At 35.8% G+C, this 24,944-nt stretch overlaps 1 protein-coding gene across 1 annotated transcript in view; it reads left to right on the top strand.

Moving 5' to 3' along the window:
- PIK3R4 (phosphoinositide-3-kinase regulatory subunit 4) overlaps positions 1 to 24,944 on the top strand; it is a 67,896-nt gene that overhangs the window by 4,576 nt on the left and 38,376 nt on the right. The window contains exons 3-8 of the mRNA NM_014602.3: positions 6,252 to 6,385; positions 8,124 to 8,706; positions 11,812 to 11,946; positions 13,570 to 13,791; positions 18,667 to 18,840; positions 23,720 to 23,865. Coding sequence (NP_055417.1) covers positions 6,252 to 6,385; positions 8,124 to 8,706; positions 11,812 to 11,946; positions 13,570 to 13,791; positions 18,667 to 18,840; positions 23,720 to 23,865 — 1,394 coding nt within the window. The remainder of the gene's footprint in view (positions 1 to 6,251; positions 6,386 to 8,123; positions 8,707 to 11,811; positions 11,947 to 13,569; positions 13,792 to 18,666; positions 18,841 to 23,719; positions 23,866 to 24,944) is intronic.

The following is a 24,944-nucleotide window of genomic DNA, read 5'->3' as shown; positions in this document are numbered from 1 at the left end:
TTTTGGCTGAAGGTAGGCCCTTCCGTTCCTTTGAAAAAGAGGTGGGTGGCATCTGTCCACTTCCCAGTGCTCTTAAGATTTGAATGTTTGGGTTTTGAGTGCTACTTTCCCCTCTTGATGGATATCCATGGTTCCAGGCTGCTGGTTTGGGAGAAGTGTTCAGCGAGTCCTGACGTCCTTGATAGGCTCTTGGAAACTGCTACTTTAAGTGAAACAGTGTAAAGCAGGTCCATCAAATAATGTCGTTTTCATTATAATGAAATGGTGAGAAAATAAATGGTTTTGTTGTACGTTGTTGTACTTAAAGTTGCAGTTTCCAAGAACCCATCGATACCGTTGAGGACTTACCATATATATTCTGCCTCTGGTCCAGTACATAGGCATAGCCTTGTGTGCTGCAGATCTTTCATTCATTTTGACATGCATTTGAGCATATTATGTGCAAGCCATTGTTACGTAGGTGCCAGGAATACAGTTGACTAAGCTTTTGCCATTATGGAGCTTTCATTCTAGTGGGGAGAGAGATAGAATAAACAAGTAAATAAGAAAGTTAATTTTGGTTAGTGATGTGTTATAGCCAAGCAGAATGATATTGAAAAGGCTGGTAGGGCACTACTTTAAGATAAAATGGTCAGGGAAGGCCTCTCTGATGAAGGTAACATTTGAGCTGAGATTTGAATGATACAGACTCAGTGATGATAGTGACGATTTAAACAAGTTGTTCCACAGGGAAATACCACCCAATAACATCTTTCAGAATAAAATCGTAAAAGTTTTGAGAAAATAAATATGAATTCACTGCTGCATTAGTTTGTTAGGGATGCCATAACAAAATACCATAGAGATGGTGGCTGAAACAAGATTTATTTTCTCTCAGTTCTGGGGGCTGGAAGTCCAAGATCAAGCTAACAGGGTTGGTTTCTTCTGAGACCTCTTTCCTTGGCTTGCAGATAGCCATCTTCTGGCTGTGTCCTCATGGGTTTTTCTCTGTGAATGAGCATACATGGTGTCCTTTCTTATAAGCACGCCAGTCATATTGGATTAAGGGCACACCCTTATTACCTCTTTAACCCTAATTAACTCCTTAAAGGCTCTGCCTACAAATACACTTAGATTCTAAGGTATGGAGATTAAACATATGAACTTGCAGGAGGGGAGGCAGGGGGCACTTGACACACAATTCAGTCAATAAAACCTCCATTTAGTTATAAATAGTCATATGTCACTGTGTTTTTTTCTGACTTTATTTGGAAATACTGTAATTTCAAACTTGAAAGCCTTAAAAACTTACAGACTTTTAAACTTGCAAAAATAAAAATAGAACAAAGGAACACCCATATACACTTTACCCAGATTCACCTATTGTTAACATTTTGCCCTGGTTGCTGTATCATTGGTATCGTTTTCTTCTTCCTCACGCCCCATTTTTTCCCTAACCTTATGAAATAAGTTACATATATTATGGCCCTTTACCCTGAAACATTTCAGTGTGTATTTTTTACTTTTTATTTATTTTTATTTTTTGAGACAGAGTCTTGCTCTGTCACCCAGGCTGGAGTGCAGTGGCGCGATCTTGGCTCATTGCAACTTCCACCTCCTGGGTATCATGCTGCTGCCTCCTGAGTAGCTGGGATTGCAGGCATGTGCCACCATGCCTGGCTAATTTTTTTGTATTTTTAGTAGAGACAGGGTTTCTCCATGTTGGCCAGGCTGGTCTTAAACTTCTGGCCTCAAGTGATCCGCGCCCCCTTGGCCTCCCTGAGTGCTGGGATTACAGGTATGAGCCACTGTGCCCGGCCTTCAGTGTTTTCTAAGATGAGGTATAGTCTGTTACAAAACACAATATAGTTAATGGCTGCAGTAATTTTAACATTGATACAGTAATTACACTTTTTATTCTAATTTTGTATTTGACCCAATAATGTCTCTTATAGCATTTTGCCTGTTTCAGGACAGGACCTTGTTTAGGGTTCAGGTATTACATTTAGTTGTCATATCTCTTTAGCCTCCTTTAATATTTCTACAGCCTTTTTTTCTTTTGTTATTATCACATTGCCATTTTTTGAAGAATGCCTCCCCCCACTTAATTTTTCAAAATCATTTTTATACATTTTAGTTTGAAATTATTGTAGAATCAAAGGAAGTTGCAAGAATAGTGATGTATCCTTCACCCAGCTTCCCCCAATGATGACCTTTTATGACTGTTGTACCATATCAGAATCAGGAGTTGCCATAGGTGCATTACTGTTAACTAGAGTATAGCCCTTACTCAGTTTTCACCAGCTTTTACATGCATTCTCTATGTCACCCACTCCTTTGTTTTTTGATAGGATGTTTCTCATTTTGAGTTTGTCTAATGTTTCCTCATGATAAGATTTATGTTATAACTTAGTAGGAATACTGCATAGATGGTGATGGATTTTCACAGGGTCACATCTGTAAACAAATGATGGTTGTTTGTGATGTTAATTTTAATCATCTGGTCAAAGTCTTCCCAAATTGTCTCCCCTCTATAGTTTTTTATTTTTTTTCAATCCCTTGCAACTAATAACCTGTGGGAAGAGTTTTAAGATGTGCAAATATGCTTGGTGTGGTGGCTCAAACTTGTAATCCCAGCACTTTGGGAGGCTGAGGTGGGCAGATTCTTGAGCCTGGGAGTTCAAGACCAGCCTGGACAATATGGTGAAACCCTGTCTCTACAAAAAATGTAAAAAATTAGTTGGGCGTGGTGGTGTACACCTGTAGTCCCAGCTACCCGGGAAGCTGAGATGGGAGGATCACCTGAGCCCAGGAGGTCCAGGCTACAGTGAACTGTGATCACACCACTGCACTCCAGGCTGGGTGACAGAGTGAGACCTTGTATCAAAAAACAAACAAAAGGCCAGCGCGGTCGCTCACGCCTGTAATCCCAGCACTTTGGGAGGCCAAGATGGGTGGATCACGAGGTCAGGAGATCGAGACCATCTTGGCTAACACGGTGAAACCCCGTCTCTACTAAAAATACAAAAAATTAGCTGGGCGCGGTGGCAGGCGCCTGTAGTCCCAGCTACTCGGGAGGCTGAGGCAGGAGAATGGCGTGAACCAGGGAGGCGGAGCTTGCAGTGAGCTGAGATAGCGCCACTGCAGTCCGGCCTGGGTGAAAGAGTGAGACTCCGTCTCAAAAAAACAAAACAAAACAAAAAAACAAACAAAAAAAGGTGTGCTAATATCCTGCCCATTACCACGGTTTATCGCTTGACATTTGGCATCCATTGATGATTCTTGCCTGATTGAATTTTTGTTATGATGGTTGCAAAAATGATTTTTCCACTCAAATACGTCCTCCACATTCAACAGTAGGACCTCAGCATTCTGCTGTACTCAAGGATCCTCTGTTTTGCCCCATTTATTTATTTATTTATTATTGGTATAGACTAATTCTTAATTTTTTTCAGTTGTATATATTTATTACCTTGTTAATTATATTGGTGCACCAGTTGTCTCAGATTTGGCCAGTGGGAGAAGGAGCCTTCTCAGGCTGATTCCTGTGTCCTTGTGACAGTCCTCATCTTTTTTTTTTTTTTTAAGCATTTCTTTACTTTTTGATATAAGATACCGTACTTACCCTGCCTTAGTGCTCAAACCAGCCATTAAGGAAGCCTAATTCTTTTAGTGTGTAGTGAATTATATTAGAAGCCTCTATCTAGTGCTCGTTGCCATTAGATTGTCTTTGACACTTTGCTCTTACAGCTGACAAAGCCAGGCAATATATGTAGTGTGTGTGTGTTGTACTCTGCTTTTGTTGGGTGGAGTGTTCTGTCGATATCTGTTAGATCCAGTTGGTGTTTTTCCCTACTGTTTTTTTCGCCTCAGCACCAACTTCTAGATTATATTTTATGTGCTTATGTTCCTCAACTTACAACGGAGTTACATCCCAGTAAACTGATTAGAAGTTGAAAATATCATAAATAGAAAATGCATTTAATACACCTAACTTATTGAACTTCATAGCTTACCCTACCTTAAACTTGCTCAGAAACTTACTTACATTAGCTGGTTAATTTTAATTGTATTTTTCGGGTCCTCTGTTTCCTTGTTGCTTATGGTGTTTTTAATAGCTGTTTTTCGAAGTCCTTCATTCTAAAATGTGACACTATACAGAGAGAAATTAACAAATTTATTGAGTGTTTATTATGTGTTAGGAACTTAGTTGCTGGAGATTTTTCAATGAATAGAGAAAAATAGAAAAATCCCTTCCTCATGTAAATTGCGTTCTAGTGGGCATGTAGACAAGAAGAAACATAGAGACTGTCCCCACTTTGCAATGGTTCAGCTTATGATTTTTTGATTTTACCATGGTGCAAAAGTGATACACATTCAGTTGAAATGTATTTGGAGCACCCATACAATCATTCTGTTTTTCACTTTCAGTTCAGTATTCAATAAATTACGTGAGATGAATCACTTTATTGTGAAATAGGCTTTGAGTTAGATGTGTTTGCCCAAATGTAGGCTAATGGAAGTGTTCTGATCATGTTTAAGGTAAGCTAAGCTGGAAAATTCAGCAGGTTAGATGTATTAAATCCATTTCTTTTTCTTTCTCTTTTCTTTTTTTGAGACAGAGTCTGGCTCTGTTGCCCAGGCTGGAGTGTAGTGGCCCGATCTCTGCTTACTGCAAACTCTGCCTCCCAGGTTCAAGCGATTTTCCTGTCTCAGCCTCCCAAGTAGCTGGAATTACAAACGTGCACCACCACACCCGGCTATTTTTTGTATTTTCAGTAGAGATAGGGTTTCACTGTGTTGGCCAGGCTGGTCTCGAACTCCTGACCTCAAGTGATCTACCTGCCTTGGCCTCCCAAAGTGGTGGGATTACAGGCATGAGCCACCGTTCAATATTTTTAACTTTTCGTTGATTTATTGGGATCTAACCCCATTGTAAATAGAGCAGCATCTGTACATAAAATATAACCTGGAAGTTGTTGCTATGGGGGAAAAACAGTAAGGAAAGGGAAAAGGGAATGTGTCCGGTGAGGGGTGTGGCGGTAGTTGTGGTAGTGGGGCCTGCAGTTTTAAACCGGCAATCAAGAAAGGCATTACTGCTGAGTGACATTTGAGCACCTGAAGATCTGAAGGAGGTGGAGGTATAAGCCACATGGATCCTTGGGGGAATAGCATTCTAGGTAGAGGGAGTAGCAAATGCACAGGCTGTGAGGTGAGGTTATTTAAGGATCTCTTTAGACTTGTTAAATGCCTGTCATGTAATGATTTCAGTTAAACTGTGTTGTCCTTTTGGAAATGTGGATACTTACAAAATTTCTGGTTTGAAGATTATATAAGTGCAAAACGAGAGTTATCTCTCTTTTCCTCTCCCTAATCTTACAGCTACACTTTTTAGCATTTCACATATTATGTTTGTTCACTGCTTTATTTTCTGTCTTCCTTCCTAGAATGAAAGCTTCATGAGGGCAAGGATTTTATCTGCTTTATGTACTGCTTGTGCCTAGGGCATAAACTTTCTGTTTAATGATGAATAAATGATTTGTCGGATATGACTTTGTAGTAGTAATTCCTTATGAATCTAATGTCTGTAAGTCCATACTTGAAAAAAAAAGTTTCTTGTTTTATCACTCTATGTAAATTGTATATATTACATATATACATTCATTTTATTTTATTTTATTTTATTTTTTTGAGATGGAGTCTCACTCTGTCATCCAGGCTGGAGTGCAATGGCACGATCTTGGCTCATTGCAGCCTCTGCCTCTCTCTACCTCATCTCCTGGGTTTAAGTGATTCTTGTGCCTCAGCCTCCCAAGTAGCTGGGACCACAGGTGTGTGCCACCATGCCCAGCTAATTTTTGTATTTTTGATAGAGACGGGCTTTCATCATGTTGACCAGGCTGGTCTCGAACTCCTGACATCAGATGATCTGCTGGCCTTGGCCTCCCAAAGTGCTGGGATTACAGGTGTGAGCCACCACATCTGGCCTATACATTCATTTTAAATTACAGAACGGGGGAATTATTTAAGTTTTTTTAAGAGGGAGAAAAATTGTATGGCTCTTCTTTGACTTTATACTTTAGAAACCAGTGTTCGGGTAATAGACATTTTCCCTGTCAGCTTGATTGTAGTTGTATGTTGCATTAAAATTTTTAATTTCATTTACTTTGGGGTTTTGCATTTTGGGTTTTATGAACTGTCTGAGTTCTCAATCTATATTGCATGATATTTTTTATCTCTTTTCTAACAGAATTATACCTGCTATTTTTCAGGTTGTGTGATAGCTGAGCTTTTTACAGAAGGTGTACCATTATTTGATCTCTCTCAACTTTTGGCTTATAGAAATGGACATTTTTTCCCTGAACAAGTGCTAAATAAAATTGAAGATCACAGTATCAGAGAATTGGTAACTATGCTACAAATATTCGCCATAAAGTTTTTAATAGGATCTAGTTCCCACTTTTGCTTTAATCAGATTTCTGGAATGTTGTAAATTTGGAATCAAGCAGTAAAACACCATAGACTAATATAAACAGCCTTTTGTTATTACTTTGTTAGGGAAGAATGTACTGTTTTTTTCCCCTTCAGGCACAGAGCTCATTTGACTTAAAAAAAATCTATTTATTATCTATTTTCCCACTATAATCTTCAGTGTGCTTTTTACAGATTTGGAAGGAGGTAAGGTAGTTTCTAGGGGTTGGAGAGGTTGTCCTGGCTAGAGCTTGCTAGTAAGAAATGAAGAAGACAGACATTTGAAATGGAGGGGACAGGAAATGTCAACTTGAATGTAATACAGCAATACAGGGCCATTGCATATAGAAGCAAATAGCTTTGTATTAATATATGAAGCTGAGGGCAGTTCTGGAAAGGCAGCTACAGAAGCACAAATTAGTATAGCAGAATGGGCGTGAGGAGTCGTGTGGGGGATCACGTAAGCCACATAGCTACATTATTGTTTGAGGGCATCTTTTCTAAGTCAGTTATAGGGTAACTGATATTGTGGTGATGACTCTGAGTCATGGAAAAGATTGTGGTGTGTTTAGAATATTCTTTAATTATGTAGGGAGATATGTAATACATTTTAATTTCTCTTAAGTATGTCAAATATTAAAAAATAAGGTGCTTCAGAGGAAGCCAGTTGAGGCCATATTTATTGAACAGTGCACTGGATGAGGAGTTGGTGTAGTGTTCTGTCTTTGGGTATGGCACATACTTGTTACGTTGCTTTGGTTATATAACTTCATGTCTTTGGGCATACATTTTCTGAACTGCGAAAGAAGTGAATTTGTTTAATTTTTAGGGCCTAGTCCAAACTAAAAGCAATTCTAACTAGTTAACATTTTCTTTTAGTACATTTGAGTCCCCCATGTTCACTACTAAGCTCTTATTTAAACTGTAAACAGAAAGTTCAGATAACTCAATACATTTTGTGATATTGTATTTCAATAATGACTGATACCCTATGAGTGTCCCAGAAAGATTAAACTATGTTCTGTGCATTGAAAAATATTTATTTCCCTATGATACTAGAAAACCATAGGATAAATTCAAATTAGGTGTATCATTTCTAGTGTTTGCAGAATTTAACATCTCTTTGACACTATTTGAAAACTTTAAGCCACTGATTCCCCTACTGATTAGATCCTAGAGCTATACTTAAACCACAGATTCCTTTGCACTTGTGGCAATAAGGTTCTGAACCATAACTCAACCCGGGATATGTAAATGGATTTTAGGGGTTCTGTGATTCCTTCCAGAATTGTATGTGTTTTTTAATGCAAAAATTGTGTGTATACATTTTTCTCTGGAAGAGATCCATTGCTTTCCTCAGATTCTTAGTGGTATCTCCTACTTAGAAAAGTTTGTAAGAATCTTTGAGTTGTGGACAGCAATATATTAGTCCCTATTTTAATAAATGGGGAATACTGAGCCATGGTATAACCTCCTCTTTATGTGTCAGGGCCATCTGTAATATATTTGTATATAATTTTTTACTGCTTTCTAGGATGATGGAGTCACAAATCACTTAGCAGTCAGGTTCTGAAAGATCCTTTAAATCGTATGTAAATTGCCTTTGTAGCTTTCATCTGGTTTACTTTTCTATTCTCAAATCTATTTTAATTCCTTTTCTTCCCTTGGTATAGGTAACTCAGATGATTCACCGTGAGCCAGATAAACGTTTAGAGGCAGAAGATTACTTAAAACAGCAGCGTGGCAATGCCTTTCCTGAAATATTTTACACTTTTCTTCAGCCCTACATGGCCCAGTTTGCCAAGGAAACGTTTCTTTCTGCAGATGAGCGTATTCTGGTTATACGGAAGGATTTGGGCAACATTATTCACAATCTCTGTGGACATGATCTGCCAGAAAAAGCCGAAGGAGAGCCTAAGGAAAATGGGCTGGTTATCTTGGTATCTGTTATAACATCCTGCCTACAGACCCTTAAATACTGTGATTCCAAACTAGCTGCTTTGGAACTGATTCTTCATTTGGCTCCAAGATTAAGTGTTGAAATCCTTTTGGATCGTATTACTCCATATCTTTTGCATTTCAGCAATGACTCTGTTCCTAGGGTGAGGGCTGAAGCCTTGAGGACGTTGACCAAAGTTCTTGCTCTCGTCAAAGAGGTTCCTCGTAATGATATCAATATTTATCCGGAATACATTCTGCCAGGCATAGCCCACTTAGCCCAAGATGATGCTACTATCGTTAGACTAGCCTATGCTGGTAAGAGTTTATTGTCCAAATATTAGCCACTTAGATATTTTTTAAGTTAATGACTATAATACTGCTTGTTTTTCTGATTTGTTTGAGAATTGCAAGTATGAACTTTGCTCTTTGAACTATTTGTGTACATTTTGATAATATTTCTAGTTACTCTGTTCCTGGGAATCAACGTTTGTGTGTTCTCTCACTTTTGAAATGATCAGAATTATCAAGTGATGGAATTTTGTGGTTTTCTTAGGAATACTACATTCGACTTGGAATAAGACTAATGTTTACAAGTATGTGCTTCTGATCTAGTGTCTTTAGGCCTTTATGAAGTTTCTCTGACAAATATGGTTATTTGACTGTCAGTTTTAGCATACAACAATCTATTGCTGCTGAAAAAGATTAATTTTGCTAGATAATTTGATGTTGAAAGAACCTAGCATACTAACTTACTGAAGTTTAAGGTTGTTTTCCCAGTTACTGTACTGTTTAGGATATACATCTTCTTTATGATGAGGTGGGTGTGTTATACACACCTACCTGTTTTGCCTGTCTCACTCAAAATCAGGTGATACAGATTCTTGTTTCTAGCTCCCCAAATTAATTCTGAAAGCTTATTTCTGCATGAGAAATATCACTGAATATATATAATATCACTGAATATATATAATTTATTTCTATAATATAATCTGATAGAAATCAGGGATTCTGTTTTGAAGTCTTTGTAAATAGTACGTGTGTGGTAATGATATTGTCTTTTTTTTTTTTTAAAGAAATGTAGTTCATTCATTTTATGATTTGCTTGTCATTATTTTAATGAAACATGTGAAAAGTGGTCTTTGGACTCTGGTCTTATCTCTAGGCACACCCACAAAGTGATTGGTGATTGTTACGTGTTTTTATGTTTCCTCATACATATATTTTTATTTATGTTTATCTCTGCCTATTTATTTATTTATGGTTTCTATAACCATACAGGTATGAACTTCAGGCCCAGAAATCCAGGATTTCTCTTAAGACACATCAAAGTTTATCATTTATAACAAAGCATAGTTGTAACTCACTTGGCAAATATAAATTAAATAATTGAACCAGATAAAATCAAATCAAATGAAAGTTTATCAGTTTTAAAAACAAGCTCTGTCTTCTTTACCAGAATTTTATGATCCTACTTTTTGGTGCAGTGTATCTTAATCTGTTCTCAATTGTGTTAAACGGGTCATGTTCTGATGAGGTGCCATATTAACATATTGACACTCAGTTACTAATAGCTATCACATAAAAATAATAGCTACTGTTTATTGAAAAATCTGCTCTAGGTTGTTGTAAGGGTTAGCTGCAACAACCTTGAGCGTTAGATGTTATATTACCTTCATATGACAGGTGAGGAAACTGGGGTTAGGAGAGACTAAATAACATGACCCAAATGTATCCGGTCTAATTCTCAGTTCTCAGAGCTCCTGCTCTACACCTTGGTTTTGAAGCAATCCTGCTTTTCTTTGGTCTTCTGGGTCTTTATGGTGAGAGTCCGTGATAACCCAGGGTCAGTGCCAGCACCTTGCATTGTTATTTCTTCAAGGCCCAGTATGTGATCACCCAGGCTGGAATGCAGTGGGGAGATCATGGCTCACTGCAGCTTTGACTTCCCAGGCTCAAGCCATCCTCCAAACGTAGCCTTCCAAGCACTATAGGTGTGTGCCACCACGCCTGGCTAATTTGCGGTCTTTTAAAATAGAGCCAGTGTATTTGAATGTGTATGGTTAAATATAATTAAAATACATGTGTCAGTAATTATAAAAGTTTAAAATCAACATTTGTTTCTTTACAGTATTTTTTAAATATCATAGATGCTGGTACAGATTTGTGTAAAGTGAACTTCCAAGTGTGCTGTGGTTTATGGACTTAAAAGGGGAAATAAGCATAGATCTACTCAGACTTTAGAGGTGCCCAGGAAAGTAAGAGACTTTTCCTAATAAAGATTTGCTCATTAAAGTGGGGATATTCATCTAGAATTTTGACATATTATCAGGATATGGCCCAGAGTTTTTCCATTTTTAGGGCGAGCAGGCGTTATAGGGTATTTACATCTTGCTTACTTAGAGGTAAATTTTTATTCTATTCAGAGCATTGTTGAACCTAGCAGGGGTGGGGAGTGGGACCCAGGATGAAGGGAATAATTGTGTTTGATTGACTCAAAGATCTCAACTGCCATAAGGTACATTTTGATTTCAGAGATGTTGGAAAGCAAGGAAAAAGTAAGGTTATTTTAAGTTTAAGGTAGTTAAACTTTACGTTCAGTGCTATTCACTGCTAAGAAGGAAAAGAGTACAGTCTTTGACCGGTTGTGATCATATGTTAAGAAACACATATGTTAAGTGGGAGGCAAGGTAGGAGAAGAAAGTGTAAGTGAAGAGCAGATACAATTGATAGTAAATGTGACAGCAGAAATTAGAAGTAGTTATTTTGTAGTGGTGAGGAATATCAGACAGTCTTTGTAGGTCATCAGAAAGAGAAAGGAGAAGATATAGACAACTGTAGAAATGTGCAAACAGTCTGCCACTTTGGTTCACTAAGAACTTGAGTATCACTTGTAAAGCAGTCTAACAATGGTTTCTCTTTGAGGCAGTTGTGACTTTTCATTTATATGTGAAGAAACAGTCTCAGATTGCTTAAATGGTCAAGTTAGTAAGTGGCAAGGTTGAGATTTGAACCCAGGTCTTTCTGATGCCAAAGCTTAGCTTTATCTGTTATTTTAATGTGGATGTTTCTTTGTTAGTCTAATAAATATCTCTCACTTGTCAAGGATACTGTTTAAAAGGTAAGTCCCTGCAGAGAATTAGGCTTTTTTTTTTTTTTGGTCCTCAGTAGATGAGGTATTAGATTATTTTTATATTATTATTTTTTTAAGCTGTGTTTCAAAAATAAGACTAGTGGTTTGGAGACAGTTACAGATTATGAGCTGGGTTACTAAAATCTGATTAAGTTAAATGCTAAATTGAAAAGTTCTGTTTTTCCCATAGGCTTATGATTATTTATGTATAAAGACAGGGAGGAAAAGTTAATAAGCTTTACAGAGAGTTAAGATTGTAATTATAAATTTTCTTCCTTTTTATTTTATAGAAAACATAGCTCTGCTGGCAGAAACAGCTCTGAGATTCCTGGAATTAGTACAGTTAAAAAATCTTAATATGGAAAATGACCCCAATAATGAAGAAATAGATGAGGTTACACATCCAAATGGAAATTATGACACAGGTTGTATAATTTTCTCTTCCAGATTTCCTGTTATTTAGAATGAATTGCTGATGCTAACTTGTAAAACTATCATTTGTAGTTTTCATGTAAGGTGAAGGAATACCAGATCTATATATTAGATAGGAAGAGTCCCTGGTGTCTAATTATTCTCTCTATCCTCATATACTGTTATCTTGCTCAAAAATAATCAGCTTGTCACCATGGATACTAAAGTCAATTGTTTGTCAGCCAGAATTGATTTGTGTGAACAGTAAAGCTGGCTGAATTATATAATTCTCATAAAAGAAAAAATTAGAAACATCATAGCTAAAGAAGCTAAACCTTTTCTCCTTACGTGAGTATATTCTGAGTATCCTCAATCATAAATTGTTTTTATTTCATACTATTTGTTATTTACAAAAAACCATAAAGGAACAGATGTGATGATGGTAAACTTATTGATGTCAAAGTCCTTGTCTTAGGTTTCTTTGTGTTATACAACTCTTTACAGATTTTTACTTAATGTTTGTTGAGTAAAAGATTTAGAAGTAAAGTAATAGATGTAATTTTCTCCAAGATGCTTCTAGTTGTGAAAAACTAGAGAAATCTAGTTTTTTAGAATTTTATGCTGCAAACAACTACAATTGTTACTTGTTAGAATGGCACCATTTTTAGACAACATGTATTATCTAGAGTTGAATACAGTGGAATAATTTTGAAGTTATAGGAGGATGTATCAGGAAGTCCTAGCCTTTTTTTATGGAATTACTTGGAAAATAATACTGTCCTATAACCATGTAATTGGACCTGTTGAGATAATAAAGTTAAATGGTAAAATTTTTGGGGAGGGAATCTAAAGTTTTTCTTAATGTGAGCATATAGTTTTGCATGTCAGACCAGTTACCTTTTTCCTTGACAGTAGTAGCTGGACCAAGAGTGGCCCCTGTCTTCTGTTTATTCACAGATAATTGTTAAAGATTAGCTCTGCATCAGGCAATTAGGAGCCTGCCCTAAGCACTAGAGCATGGTGGTGAATACGATAGAAACGATCCTTGCTCTTGAGCTTACATTTTAGTAAAAAGAAGACAGGCAGCTAAGTAAATAAATAAGTGAGAAAAAGTGAGGATGAGGAAGAGAAGAGGTAAGACCAGAGAAGACAGTGGCCAGATGAAGTAAAGCCTTGACAGAACTTGCAGTGTGTTTTCTGGCTTTCTAAAATAAACTGACCTTTAAAAACATTTTCTAAAAGGATTGCTCAGTACCATCATATTATATCCTAATCCTATTCCATTATTTTCAAGTCCTTGATTAACTGGGATCTTACTGGGGCAATGTGATTTCCTTTCTGGTGCTTCTCTATAATTTTCTCCTTGAGCTAATAAATGAAACTATTTGATTAGTGAGATAGTAACTATGTTTGTGGCATCTGCTTGTTAGGATATTCTTCACTTTATATTTCAGTTTCCCATCCTTCAGAGCTTTGAATAATGCAAAAAATTGGTGATTAAAGTCTTCGGTGGATTCTGTAATCAGTCTCTCTGATGAGTAAGAAAGAAGACTGGGACTATCTGTATGGGGAAAAATTGATCTTTTCTTAACTATTTCTTTTCTTTCTTTCTTTCTTTCTTTTTTTTTTTTTTTTAGAGCTCCAAGCCTTACATGAAATGGTCCAGCAGAAAGTTGTTACTTTGCTAAGTGACCCTGAAAATATTGTAAAACAAACCTTGATGGAAAATGGAATAACACGGCTGTGTGTATTCTTTGGACGTCAGAAAGCCAACGATGTTTTGTTGTCCCACATGATTACTTTCCTAAATGATAAGAATGATTGGCATCTACGTGGAGCATTTTTTGATAGTATAGTTGGTATGTTTTTTGCTTTTAAATTCCTTTAAGATTTTTAATCATCCTCTCAAATACTTCCATGCAATCTGAAGGATAGATGATACTACCAAATTTCATTAATAATGAAATGAATTCCTAGTATTTCTGTCTTCATGCTGCTTTTGGATGATGTAAGTATTTTGGCTTGGTTAAAATAAAGGGTTGGTATATCAACCTGTGTTACATCCGTATGAAGGAATACCGTGTGGTCATTAACTATATTTAGACAGAATAATGACCTGGAAAGTACCATGAAGTATGTTAAAGTGACATAAGTAGGTTGTAAATCCTCTTAAAGAATGATTGCTGTAGTGTAAAGGTAACAATAACAGAAATCATATATGTTTATAAACATGTTAATAAAAGTGAACATGCATCACTTTTAGAATCAGAAAATAAGTTAAAATATAATCATGGTTGAAAATCAATGTAGTTGGAAAGAATTAAGTTAAAGGCTTTGTGTAACTGAAAATTTGTGAAAATTTAAGCAGCATTTTTTTTTTGCTGTTCTTTCATTTTACAATTCTTGATTTTTAGATATATCTAAAGTCAGACATCTTGTGTTTTATATGCATGACTTATATTACATTTGTATTCAGAATTAGAAGTAAATGAAGTGGACAGTATTTTGCATGGGTTAAGTCATGTTTGATACAGGATTTAATATTTTTCTCTTTTGAATAATAACTGATCCCCTTTTCCCTGAATGTACTGATCTTTTCAGTTTAAGATTTGGCCAATTATGAAATATATGCTAAATTCATATTATTATGATTATCCACTACCCCCTATTATATCATTTCCCACATAGTTGTAACAGTTTATCTGTTAACCCGAAAAGTTTAAAGACTATTCTGCACAATAGAAAGCTTGGCTGTGTCCAGACTTTCTTGTGAGGCAGCAGAAGCTGTAAGACTTTAAGGGCCGGGCGCCGTGGCTCACGCCTGTAATCCCAGCACTTTGGGAGGCCGAGGCGGGCGGATCACGAGGTTAGGAGATCGAGACCATCCTGGCTAACACGGTGAAACCCCGTCTCTACTAAAAATACAAAAAATCAGCCGGGCGCGGTGGCGGGTGCCTGTACTCGGAGGCGGCGGGAGGGGGGCTGAGGCAGGAGAATGGCGTGAACCCAGGAGGCGGAGCTTGCAGTGAGCTGAGATTGCGCCACTGCAGTCAGGCCTGGGTGAAAGAGCGAGACTCCGTCTCAAAAAAAAAAAAAAGACTTTAAGTTTTGGTTCCCAATAATCTAGGAAAGGTTTGCTGTTTGATTTTTGTTTGCTAAAAAAATAAAATGCAAGAAACCTATGTGGCAACAGGATTGATATTTCTGCAAATGCTATCATATGTTTTGGAGGAAAGGGTACTTTCTACTTTGAAAAACTTTCAAATTCCCGGTTATTTTTGGAAATTACTGTACCTGTTTTTTTCTTTTCAGACATCTTTTGTTTTTTATTTTTGCATTAATTTATAGATGCATCTTAGCCTTCCATCTAGGACTTCATCTAACTCAGTTCCTGAATACAGTATTCTTTGATTCTTACATCTTTTTGTCTTGCTTGCTCTCTTCTTCTTCCAAATAATGTTATATTTATTTCTTTTCTCGGGAAAAGTCGGTTCTTAAAACTTCCCCTATCTATTGGTCAATTCATGTGTTCTTTGAAACACATATTAGTTTGTCTTAATTTAAAAATAAATTTTTTATTTATAAAAAATAAATATGCTTATATTACTTTTGGAAATAAAACTTAGAAAAATTTGGAAAATACGGAAACCAGAAGAAAATAAATGACCATTAATCCTACAACCCATGTACAATGTCTGTTAAAGCTTTGATGTTTTTTCCCATAGCTATTCCTCTTCTCTTTCCATCCCATTTATCCCTTTCTGTCATATGCTGATCGTTAAGAGCAGGCATTGTGGAGCTATACTGTTGGGTTCAGGTGTTCACTTTGTCACTAGTTGTGGTTCTTGGAAAATCATTTAATTTTTTTGTGGCTTAGTTTACCTATCTGTAAAATGGAAATAAGAATAGTGCCTGTCTTACTGGTTGTTGGGGGATAGAATGAATTAATATATGTAATAGTGCCTGGCGTAAGTGCTATGTATATATTATATTACTTCCAAATTTTATTATTTCTTAAACTTTTTCTAATAACATACTTTAAGCATTTTCTCATATCATTAAAAATTTATTTGAAATCATAATTTGATAGGTCTAAACTATTCCTTTATATAGTTTTGCAAAAATTTAACCCTTTTGGATATTTAAATTATTTTCATTTTTTTCTGTCATATATAGATAATCTATATATTTGGTATAAATATGCAACGTATGTATGTAAGTAGTTGTTTCTGATTATTTTCTTAGGATAGAAGTAAAAAAATTTTAATTACTGTGTTAAAGAATGTGAATTTATTTTTAAAACTCATGACACATTTATAAGCTATTCAAAAAGATGATATCATTTTGCATCCCCATCTCCGTTAAGTGCTGCACACCCATCCAGTGTGAAATAGGCTTTACTTAGTCCTTGCCTGTTGGAAGGGTAAAATGATAACTTGTTTTGATATATATTTCTTAGCTTAACTATCAAGTTGAAAAACTTTTTCATGTTGATTATGCATTCATATTTCTAATTCTATGAATTTTAAAATTCATTATTTTGGCTTATTTTTTTCTGATACTTATGCTTTTCTTGTTCTTTTCGAGCCTTTATATACATATTAAGAACATTAATTTTTTAAATCAATTTTAAGCTCACGTTTCTTAGTTCTTTAACTTGATTTTTGAATCTTTTCTGTAGACAGTTTTTCTGAAGTCAGTTTACTCGATCTTTTTGCTTTGTGATTTTTTTTTTTCTACTTTTGTATGTAAAGTCTCTTCCCATTCCAGAATTAGATTAATAATCTGTTGTGTGCTTGTCTTTTTTTCTTTTTCATGCTTTAGTTTTTACACTTAACTGTTTAATTGATCTTTATTTTTGGTCTGTGATGTGGGATGAAAACTAAATTTTCTTTTTCTTCTCAGATATGTAACTGATTTTCCAGCATAATTTATTAAGCATTTTTTTTGTTTTTTTTCTTACTGGTTTGTTTCTTACTGTTTTATCATCTGTTGCATGCTTCTGTCTGTTAAGGTCAGTTTTCTGGCTATCTAGTCTGTTCCATTGATTTTTCTCTTCTTGTACTCATATTCATAGCCATATTCAATTTACATTATTATATATTTTTAATCACCTTTATCATCTGATAGGGTAAGTTTCAGATGTCATTCATTTTCAAAATAGTTTTAGCTATTTTAGCTCATTGTACATTTCAGTTTGTAAAGTTCCTAAATATAATTCACTGGAATTTTAGATAGAATTTTTCCTTTTATTAAAGAAAACAATTATAACATAATTTTTTAATCATAAAGGAAATAGGCTTTTAGAAATTATTTAAAATTTAATCAAAATGTATAATGTATGAAAAACAATAGTTGAAATTTCCAGAGGCAACTACTCAGCTTTCTGCTTTTATTTTAGTGTTTTCAGGTGATTATTACCATATCTCTAAATAATATTTTCATATTACTATTTTTAGAATAACCAACTTTGGACTTTATCTCTTGAATTTTTTTCTGTGCCAGATGAAGATTTAATTCACTCATAACATGCCTTGATCCTTCTTCTCTTTTCAGTTTTTGAGATGTTGACTACTATTTTCTGTGCTTTAGTTTTTGGTTTGTTGTTTTAATAACTTTAAGTAATTAAATCTATTTTGTGTGCTCCACCTCTGATTTGCAGTACAAGATTAGTGCCCCTTTTCTTTCTCTTTACCTGTGTCTCTCTTTTTTATTGTTTGGTTAGTTGAGAATTGAGAATTCTCAACAATTTTTTTGTCATAGTTAATAATACATTCTGTTCTATAACACAATGAAGTCTTTTATGTATAGACTGATTATGAAGCTTCAAAACAAAATACATGATTATGAATGTGTAAATTTTATTGACTGTGGAGCCAAGTAATATACTGTAATTATATTTGCTTCATCACAATCCCAATTCAGTGACTCTCCCCCTCACCATTTGAGTATGTTTATAGCAAGGCCAGTGGATTCTACTTTACTCCCTCTTCTAGTTACTAAATACACTATTTATTTTAATTTCATATTTGGACTGTGATTTTCTTGAGCAATTTCAGGAATTTTAGATTTCTTTGTTTTCCTTTTAGAAAGAAAAGTAATAAATTGTCACCATATCCGTAATAGCTAGCTTCTTTCTTATTAATTTTATTTGTTGCTTAGAATCTATTCCATTTTCTTCTTGATGACATTCTTGAAATTTATTAGCTTTTAATTCTAATCTGGGCTGACTGATTTCTAGGTCTTTGCTAGCTTTTTTTTGCCCTTGAATTCTTAGGTTGAAACTTTCCTAGAAAGGGTTGCATGGGAGGCAAACTTTTAATAGTCCTTACATGTCTTGAAATGACTTTTTTTTTATTTAATTGACAGTTTGACTGAAAATAGAATTCTTTTCATAACTTTTAATGCCTTGCTTGCCTATGTCTTGTCTTCTAACCTCCATTGTTGCTGAAGATTATATAATTACAGTCTGATTCTTCTTCCTTTTTAGGAGACCTATATTTTCATTTCTGTAAGTTCTTAGGATCTTAGCTTTTCTGTGGTGTCCGAGAATTTCCTGATGATTTGCCTTGCTGTGGGTCTTTTTAACTTTATCATGCTGGGTAGGAAGTGCAATGTTCTTTCCTAGGTAATTGATTAATATGTTTGGCTTTTGCTTAATTTTATTGCTTTACTTAATGATATATGTACTTTTAGGTATTGAATAATCACATAATATTGCTTTTCATTTCCAGGTGTTGCTGCCTATGTTGGCTGGCAAAGCTCCTCAATTCTCAAGCCTCTGCTGCAACAAGGTCTTAGTGATGCTGAGGAATTTGTCATTGTGAAAGCTCTTTATGCCCTTACTTGTATGTGCCAGTTAGGACTGCTACAAAAACCCCATGTTTACGAATTTGCCAGTGATATTGGTAAGTTTCTGTTTCTCAAAATTAGAATGAGATTGGAAGAACTTTATAAAATTTCTAGGTAATATAAAGAATTGCAACTTTATTGTTCCTGCTATTGATTGTGTGGGGTTCCTACTATTGATTGTGTGGGTGTGCATGTGTGTATGTGTATGTGTGCATGCTTATATGTATGTGAGAGACAGACAAGCTGACTCATTGGGTCCTCCAGCCTGGTTGGGAAGTACTGCTTTGTTTTCATCTGTTGGTAAGTCTGTGTTACCCTTGTCAAAAAGCAAGACTTTGGTTTTTGTTTTGGCTTTCTTTTTTTTATTTTTAATTTTTTTTTTTTTTTTTTTTTTTTTTTTTTTTTTTGCGACAGTCTCTCACTCTGTCACCCAGGCTGGAGTACAGTGTGTGATCTTGGCTCACTGCAACCTCCACCTCTGTGTTCAAGCCATTCTCCTGCCTCAGCCTCCTGAGTAGCTGGGGTTACAGGCACCTGCCACCATGCCCGGCTAATTTTTTTTTTTTTTTGTATTTTTAGTAGAGACGGGGTTTTACCATGTTGGCCAGGCTGGTCTTGAACTCCTGACCTCATGATCTGCCTGCTCCAGCCTCCCGAAGTGCTGGGATTACAGGCACGAGCCACCGCTCCTGGCCGAGACTTTGTTGTTAAAAAAACCATGATGTGGGTAAAGCCTTGACTGGTCTGAAGATGAAAATTATTTTTGGGCACTTGACTAGCAGTCAAGTTGAAAATTGGATGTGAAGGGTCTGTCACTGCATTGATTACCAGTTAAGAATTCGTAGACTTGAATAATATGTTTATTCTATTATAATTTCACATAATACATTGCTTCTGTGGCCTAATTAGTTATTTCAAAATAATTTTTGGAAATTATTTTTGAAATTTAATATAGCTTGTAATTAGCATTTTATTTATCTACAAAACAGATGCCCATCAATTTTAAAGCAAAAATCATCATGAAAATAGTTTTTTACCCCTGCACTCAAAGTTTGTGGAGATTTTTCTGGACCTTGCTATTTCTAGTCTTTGATCCCAGGATGAATATATGGAGTGCTCATATATCTTTAGTGTCAAAATAAATTATGTTTATATACAGAATAAACCCAGTGTGGTACTACTTCTTCAATGGATAACTCCCTTAGAACTACAACTGAATTTGATATGAAAACTATGGGGAGAAAAAAACACGTTACCAAGAAAAATCAAGTAAACAGTCATTTCTTGGCATTTAAAACTGTTTAAAAGTAAAAAACAATTTTAGTAACTTAGAAACACCTACTTATTTAAAACAAATGATAGACTATATACATCTCTCTCATTCTGTTTTTAAACTATGTGTATTCTGTTGTAGTGATTTTTTTTTCCCCAGCTTTATTGAGGTATAATCAACAAATAAAGATAGTATATTATGTTCAACATGATATTTTGATATATATATATACTTTGTGAAGTAATTATGGCAATCAAGTTAATTGACATATCCATAGTTCTTTTTCTTTAGTGGTAAGAACATTTAAGAGTTACACCCTAGTGATTTTCCAGTATACATTATTATTAATTATAATCACCATGCTGTACTTGCACATACTGTACAAGAACTTATTCATCTTGTCTAACTGAATTTTTGTATCCTTTGACTAACACCTGCCCATTCCACCCTCCCTTCTACCCCAGCCCCTGGTAACCACCATTCTACTCTCTACTTCTAAGAGTTCAACTTTTTTAGATAATATGTATTAGTTCGATCATAACAGTATCTGTCTTTCTGTTTCTGGCTTATTTTACATAGCATAATGTTCTCCAGGTTCATCTGTGTTGTTGCAAATAACAGGATATTTTTATTTTTTAGTGCTGAGTAGTATTTTAGTTGTTATATACACCATTTTTTTTATTCATTCAGTGGACACTTAAATTGATTTCCTATGTCGACTCTTGTGAATAATGCTGCAGTGAACATGGGATTGCAGATATCCCTTCAACATACTAATTTCATTTCCTTTGGATGTATACCCCAAAGAGGGATTGCAAGATCACAGGTAGTTCCATTTTTAATTTTTTTTTTTTTTTTTTGAGACGGAGTCTCGCTCTTTCACCCAGGCTGGACTGCAGTGGCGCCGTCTTGGCTCACTGCAAGCTCCGCCTCCCAGGTTCACGCCATTCTCCTGCCTCAGCCTCCCAAGTAGCTGGGACTACAGGCGCCCGCTACCATGCCCGGCTAATTTTTTTTGTATTTTTAGTAGAGACGGGGTTTCACCGTGTTAGCCAGGATGGTCTCGATCTCCTGACCTCGTGATCCGCCCGCCTCAGCCTCCCAAAGTGCTGGGATTACAGGCGTGAGCCACCGCGCCCGGCCTAATTTTTTTTTTTTAAGACACAGGGTTTTGCTCTGTCACCCAGGCTGGAGTGCAGTGGCATGATCACAGCTTACTGCAGCCTGGATCTCCCTGGCTCAAGCTATCTTCTGGCCTCATCCTCTCGAGTAGCTGGGACCACAAGCATGTGCCACCACGCCTGGCTAGTATTTATTTATTTAGAGACGGAGTTTCACTCTTGTTGCTCTGTGCTGGCTGCCTGGACTTTGGGGAATGTTGACATGGGTTATGTGAAACTACCCTTCCTGCCCTCTTCATTGGGGCTTTTCTCAATTTTGCTATACCCAGGTGCTGTAATCTCTCACCTGGATTCCTTTGTAATGGTGTTTTCATGCATTGATAGTTGTTAAAACAGATTTTTTTCTACAAGAGGATGAATACTGAAATGTCCTATTCAGCCATATTGTTTTCACTGCCTAGTGACTCTTAAAGAGAATGGTGGTGGTGGTTTTGATGGTGATTATGATTTCTTTGTTACTCCTTTTAAAAACTATACTTTTCCCACTTAGCTATTATTAATATTTTCCCCCACATTTGTCTTCTGATAAGTTGAATGTGTTAGACAAAGAAAAGATTGATTGGGAGGCCAAGGCAGGCGGATCACCTGAGGTCAGGAGCTCAAGACCAGCCTGATCAACATGGAGAAACTCCGTCTCTACTAAAAATACAAAATTAGCCAGGCTTGGCAGCGCATGTCTGTAATCCTAGCTACTCGGGAGGCTGGGGTGGGAGAGTTGCTTGAATCCAGGAGGCGGAGGTTGCGATGAGTCGAGATCGTGCCATTGCACTCCAGCCTGGGCAATAAGAGCGAAACTCCGTCTCAAAAAAAAAAGGAAGAAAAGATTGAATATGCTATTTCATAGGCAGTTCTTTAGATTCAGGCTTCTTCTTGTTTTGAGTATTTGAGGTGCTTTGTATCAGGCAGCTACTTAATGATATAATAATGCTGTAGAACAGTCAACCACAGAATCTCAGTAAATCCTTCAGTAAATTTTTCGTCATGCACCTGTGGGTTGTATAGGTGGCCCTGCTTCAGGTTCTGCATCTCCAGGTTGTCTGTGATGACTGTGATTCATCTGTCTCATTCTGGGGCCCTCATTGTAGGGGCAGTAGCTACCCACATCATGTTCTCATGGTGATGGCAGAAGCACGAGAGGGCAAACCCAGCTATATAGCACATTTCAGATTCCTGTTTGTCGTAATATTCATTGGCCAAAGCAAGTGATATAAACCAAAAGAAAGGGGGCAGAGAAGTATCCTTTGTATACTACAGGTGTATACAAAGTGAATGAGTGTGGTTGTGTGATACAGGGAAGTTAAGAATTGGGGTAAATAATTCAGTATAATACAGTTCCCAACTCCTGTCAAACCGTTATGGGTTTAGCTACTTTCTGGAGGTTTACCAATGTTTTTCCAGTCCTCATTTTCCCTCTTATCACAGGGAAAATACCCAGTGTCCCTTGTTGGATGGATCAGAGGCTGCAGGGTATTTATGAAATAAACAAAATCTTCTTCATTTATAATTAGAAGAATTAGAAATGCGAGACCTTGGGAGATAGATATTTTGAACGCATCTTTTCTCCTTCCCCTGTTAATATAAGTATTATTAGCCTATGATTGTATTCCTATTTCTCTATTAATGTGTATTTCTTATATACACTAAATAAATATTAGAAGATAAAGAAATATCCTCTGAATGCTGGTGTGTTTGCATGCTCAGAGCTAATACAATTTTTCTTGCCTTTAAAAGTTTGGATTTTATTCTAAATCAGGTTAGTCTAATGTCGATTAGTTGAAATCATTGATTTTATGTTTAATACATAAAATCGTTAAAAGGTATGAAAAGACATTCATTTAATTTTCTGGTTTAATGTTATATTTTAAACTTTTTAAGAATAGGTATCATGTTTTCAGCCTTTTTGTTTCCATTCATCATTGCCTTGTGAAAGTAACTGTGAGTTATATATTAGATTTGATCAAACTCCTGCATTAAAAAGAATATCAGATAGGCTAGATTGTTCCCTTAATCTTTATGCTGTAGCTTGGAGAAGTAAATTCTCCCCAATTTCTCTGCCCCTTGGGTGGTAGAGGGGATATGTCCTTGAACTTCTGTGGGGGTACAAGTTGGGGAATAATAGTTAGCTATATGCTGTTGGGACTTGTTATGTCTCTAACAGTTTTTAATCCAGTGTTATAAATGAGTAGGTGCCCACACAATTTTACTTCTGACTAAAAAAATATAAATTTTAAGTCCTCAGCTATGAGGTAACTGTTTTTATTCTTTTGTGGTACTGCTGTGATATTTATAATAAGAGAATATTATAATAACAGTGTGTCCACTTGATTGAGTTTATGCTTCAGGGTAATTGAGTATGTGAAGGCTCCTGATAGTAACACTGTGGCAAAATCCTTTTGTCAGTTACGTTATAAGGTAAAAATTTGTTTATCCCGATAGTTTGAAATAACTTATTTGATCCCTACCTTTTCTTTTCCTCTTTAGCCCCCTTCCTGTGTCATCCCAATTTATGGATACGTTATGGTGCCGTGGGATTTATCACAGTGGTAGCTCGTCAAATAAGTACAGCTGATGTCTACTGTAAACTGATGCCTTATCTTGACCCATATATTACCCAACCAATAATACAGGTATACATGTTCCAAGTTGGAGTCAGTCTTTCCTCCAAACTGTGCCTCTTTAAAAAAAATGTTTAGAGAGTCCTATTTTTCTTAACATTTTTTAAGTATTTAAATTGGGCTATAGCATGTTTATATTCCTTTCAAGCTAATTAATGTTAATGAACCAAGCACCTTTGAAGGTCAGAAAAGTGCAAAAGATTATTATGTTTTACATCATGTTATATCTAATGTAGCGTACAGTAGTTCATATATTTTCTTTTGTGTAATATTATAAAGCAACTGTTAAAAGTGAAATATAGTCTAGCAAAAATGTATATTGATGGCCCTCTGCTTTTTATTTTAAAAAGTATAACTGATTGCATCCAGTTATAATAAATTAGAAAAAGTCTTTTTCAAATTTAAGTTTTTCACCGCTAACTGGTTGTTTTGATGTCTTTTCTTTTTTATTCTAACAACCCCACAACCTCTGCTCCACCTTTAGCAGTACTTGGTGATAAACTTTAGGTCTTTGGTTTGTACAGGGCAAATATTATTCACCTAGATTTTCAGTGTTTATACCCTTCATCTTGCTAGACAGCAAATTATCAAGATAGGCATTAAATGGATTGAAATGGCGAAGGACGATTCTAGCTGTTAAAACATCTGAAAGTTCCTATTTTTACCAGAACTCCATTTGGAATTCACACACCTCTCTGGCTTTCTCCCACTTTTGTATTTCAATGTGCCTTCCCTTTGGAGAAAATGGCCTTGGATAAACTCTGGAAACTAGGAAGCTTTGGTTATACCTTCTTTTCTTCATAGATTCATTCATTTCTAGAGGTTATCATTCTATTTCATAGAGTTTGTAGGATTTTTTTTTTATTTTTACCCCAAGAGCAACTTATATATACATGAAAGATGGATAGCACTATCAGAAAAAAATGCCTTTTTAGAAAAGTTTATGCTTCCTTGGAAATTAAATCTAGAGATATCTACTCCTTTTGAATAGTTACTCTATTTAAAAGTTTGCTCATTGAACTTTTTCTTTTGTCATTGTTTCGTATTTTGAAAGGCCAGGATCAGAAGTTGAGAGGCTAATTATTCATTTG

This window comes from Homo sapiens, chromosome 3 (genome assembly GCF_000001405.40).
Source record: "Homo sapiens chromosome 3, GRCh38.p14 Primary Assembly".
Classification (NCBI taxonomy): Eukaryota; Metazoa; Chordata; class Mammalia; order Primates; family Hominidae; genus Homo; species Homo sapiens.
The sequence above is the reverse complement of the archived record's forward strand: the minus strand, read 5'-3'. Positions and strand labels throughout refer to the sequence as shown.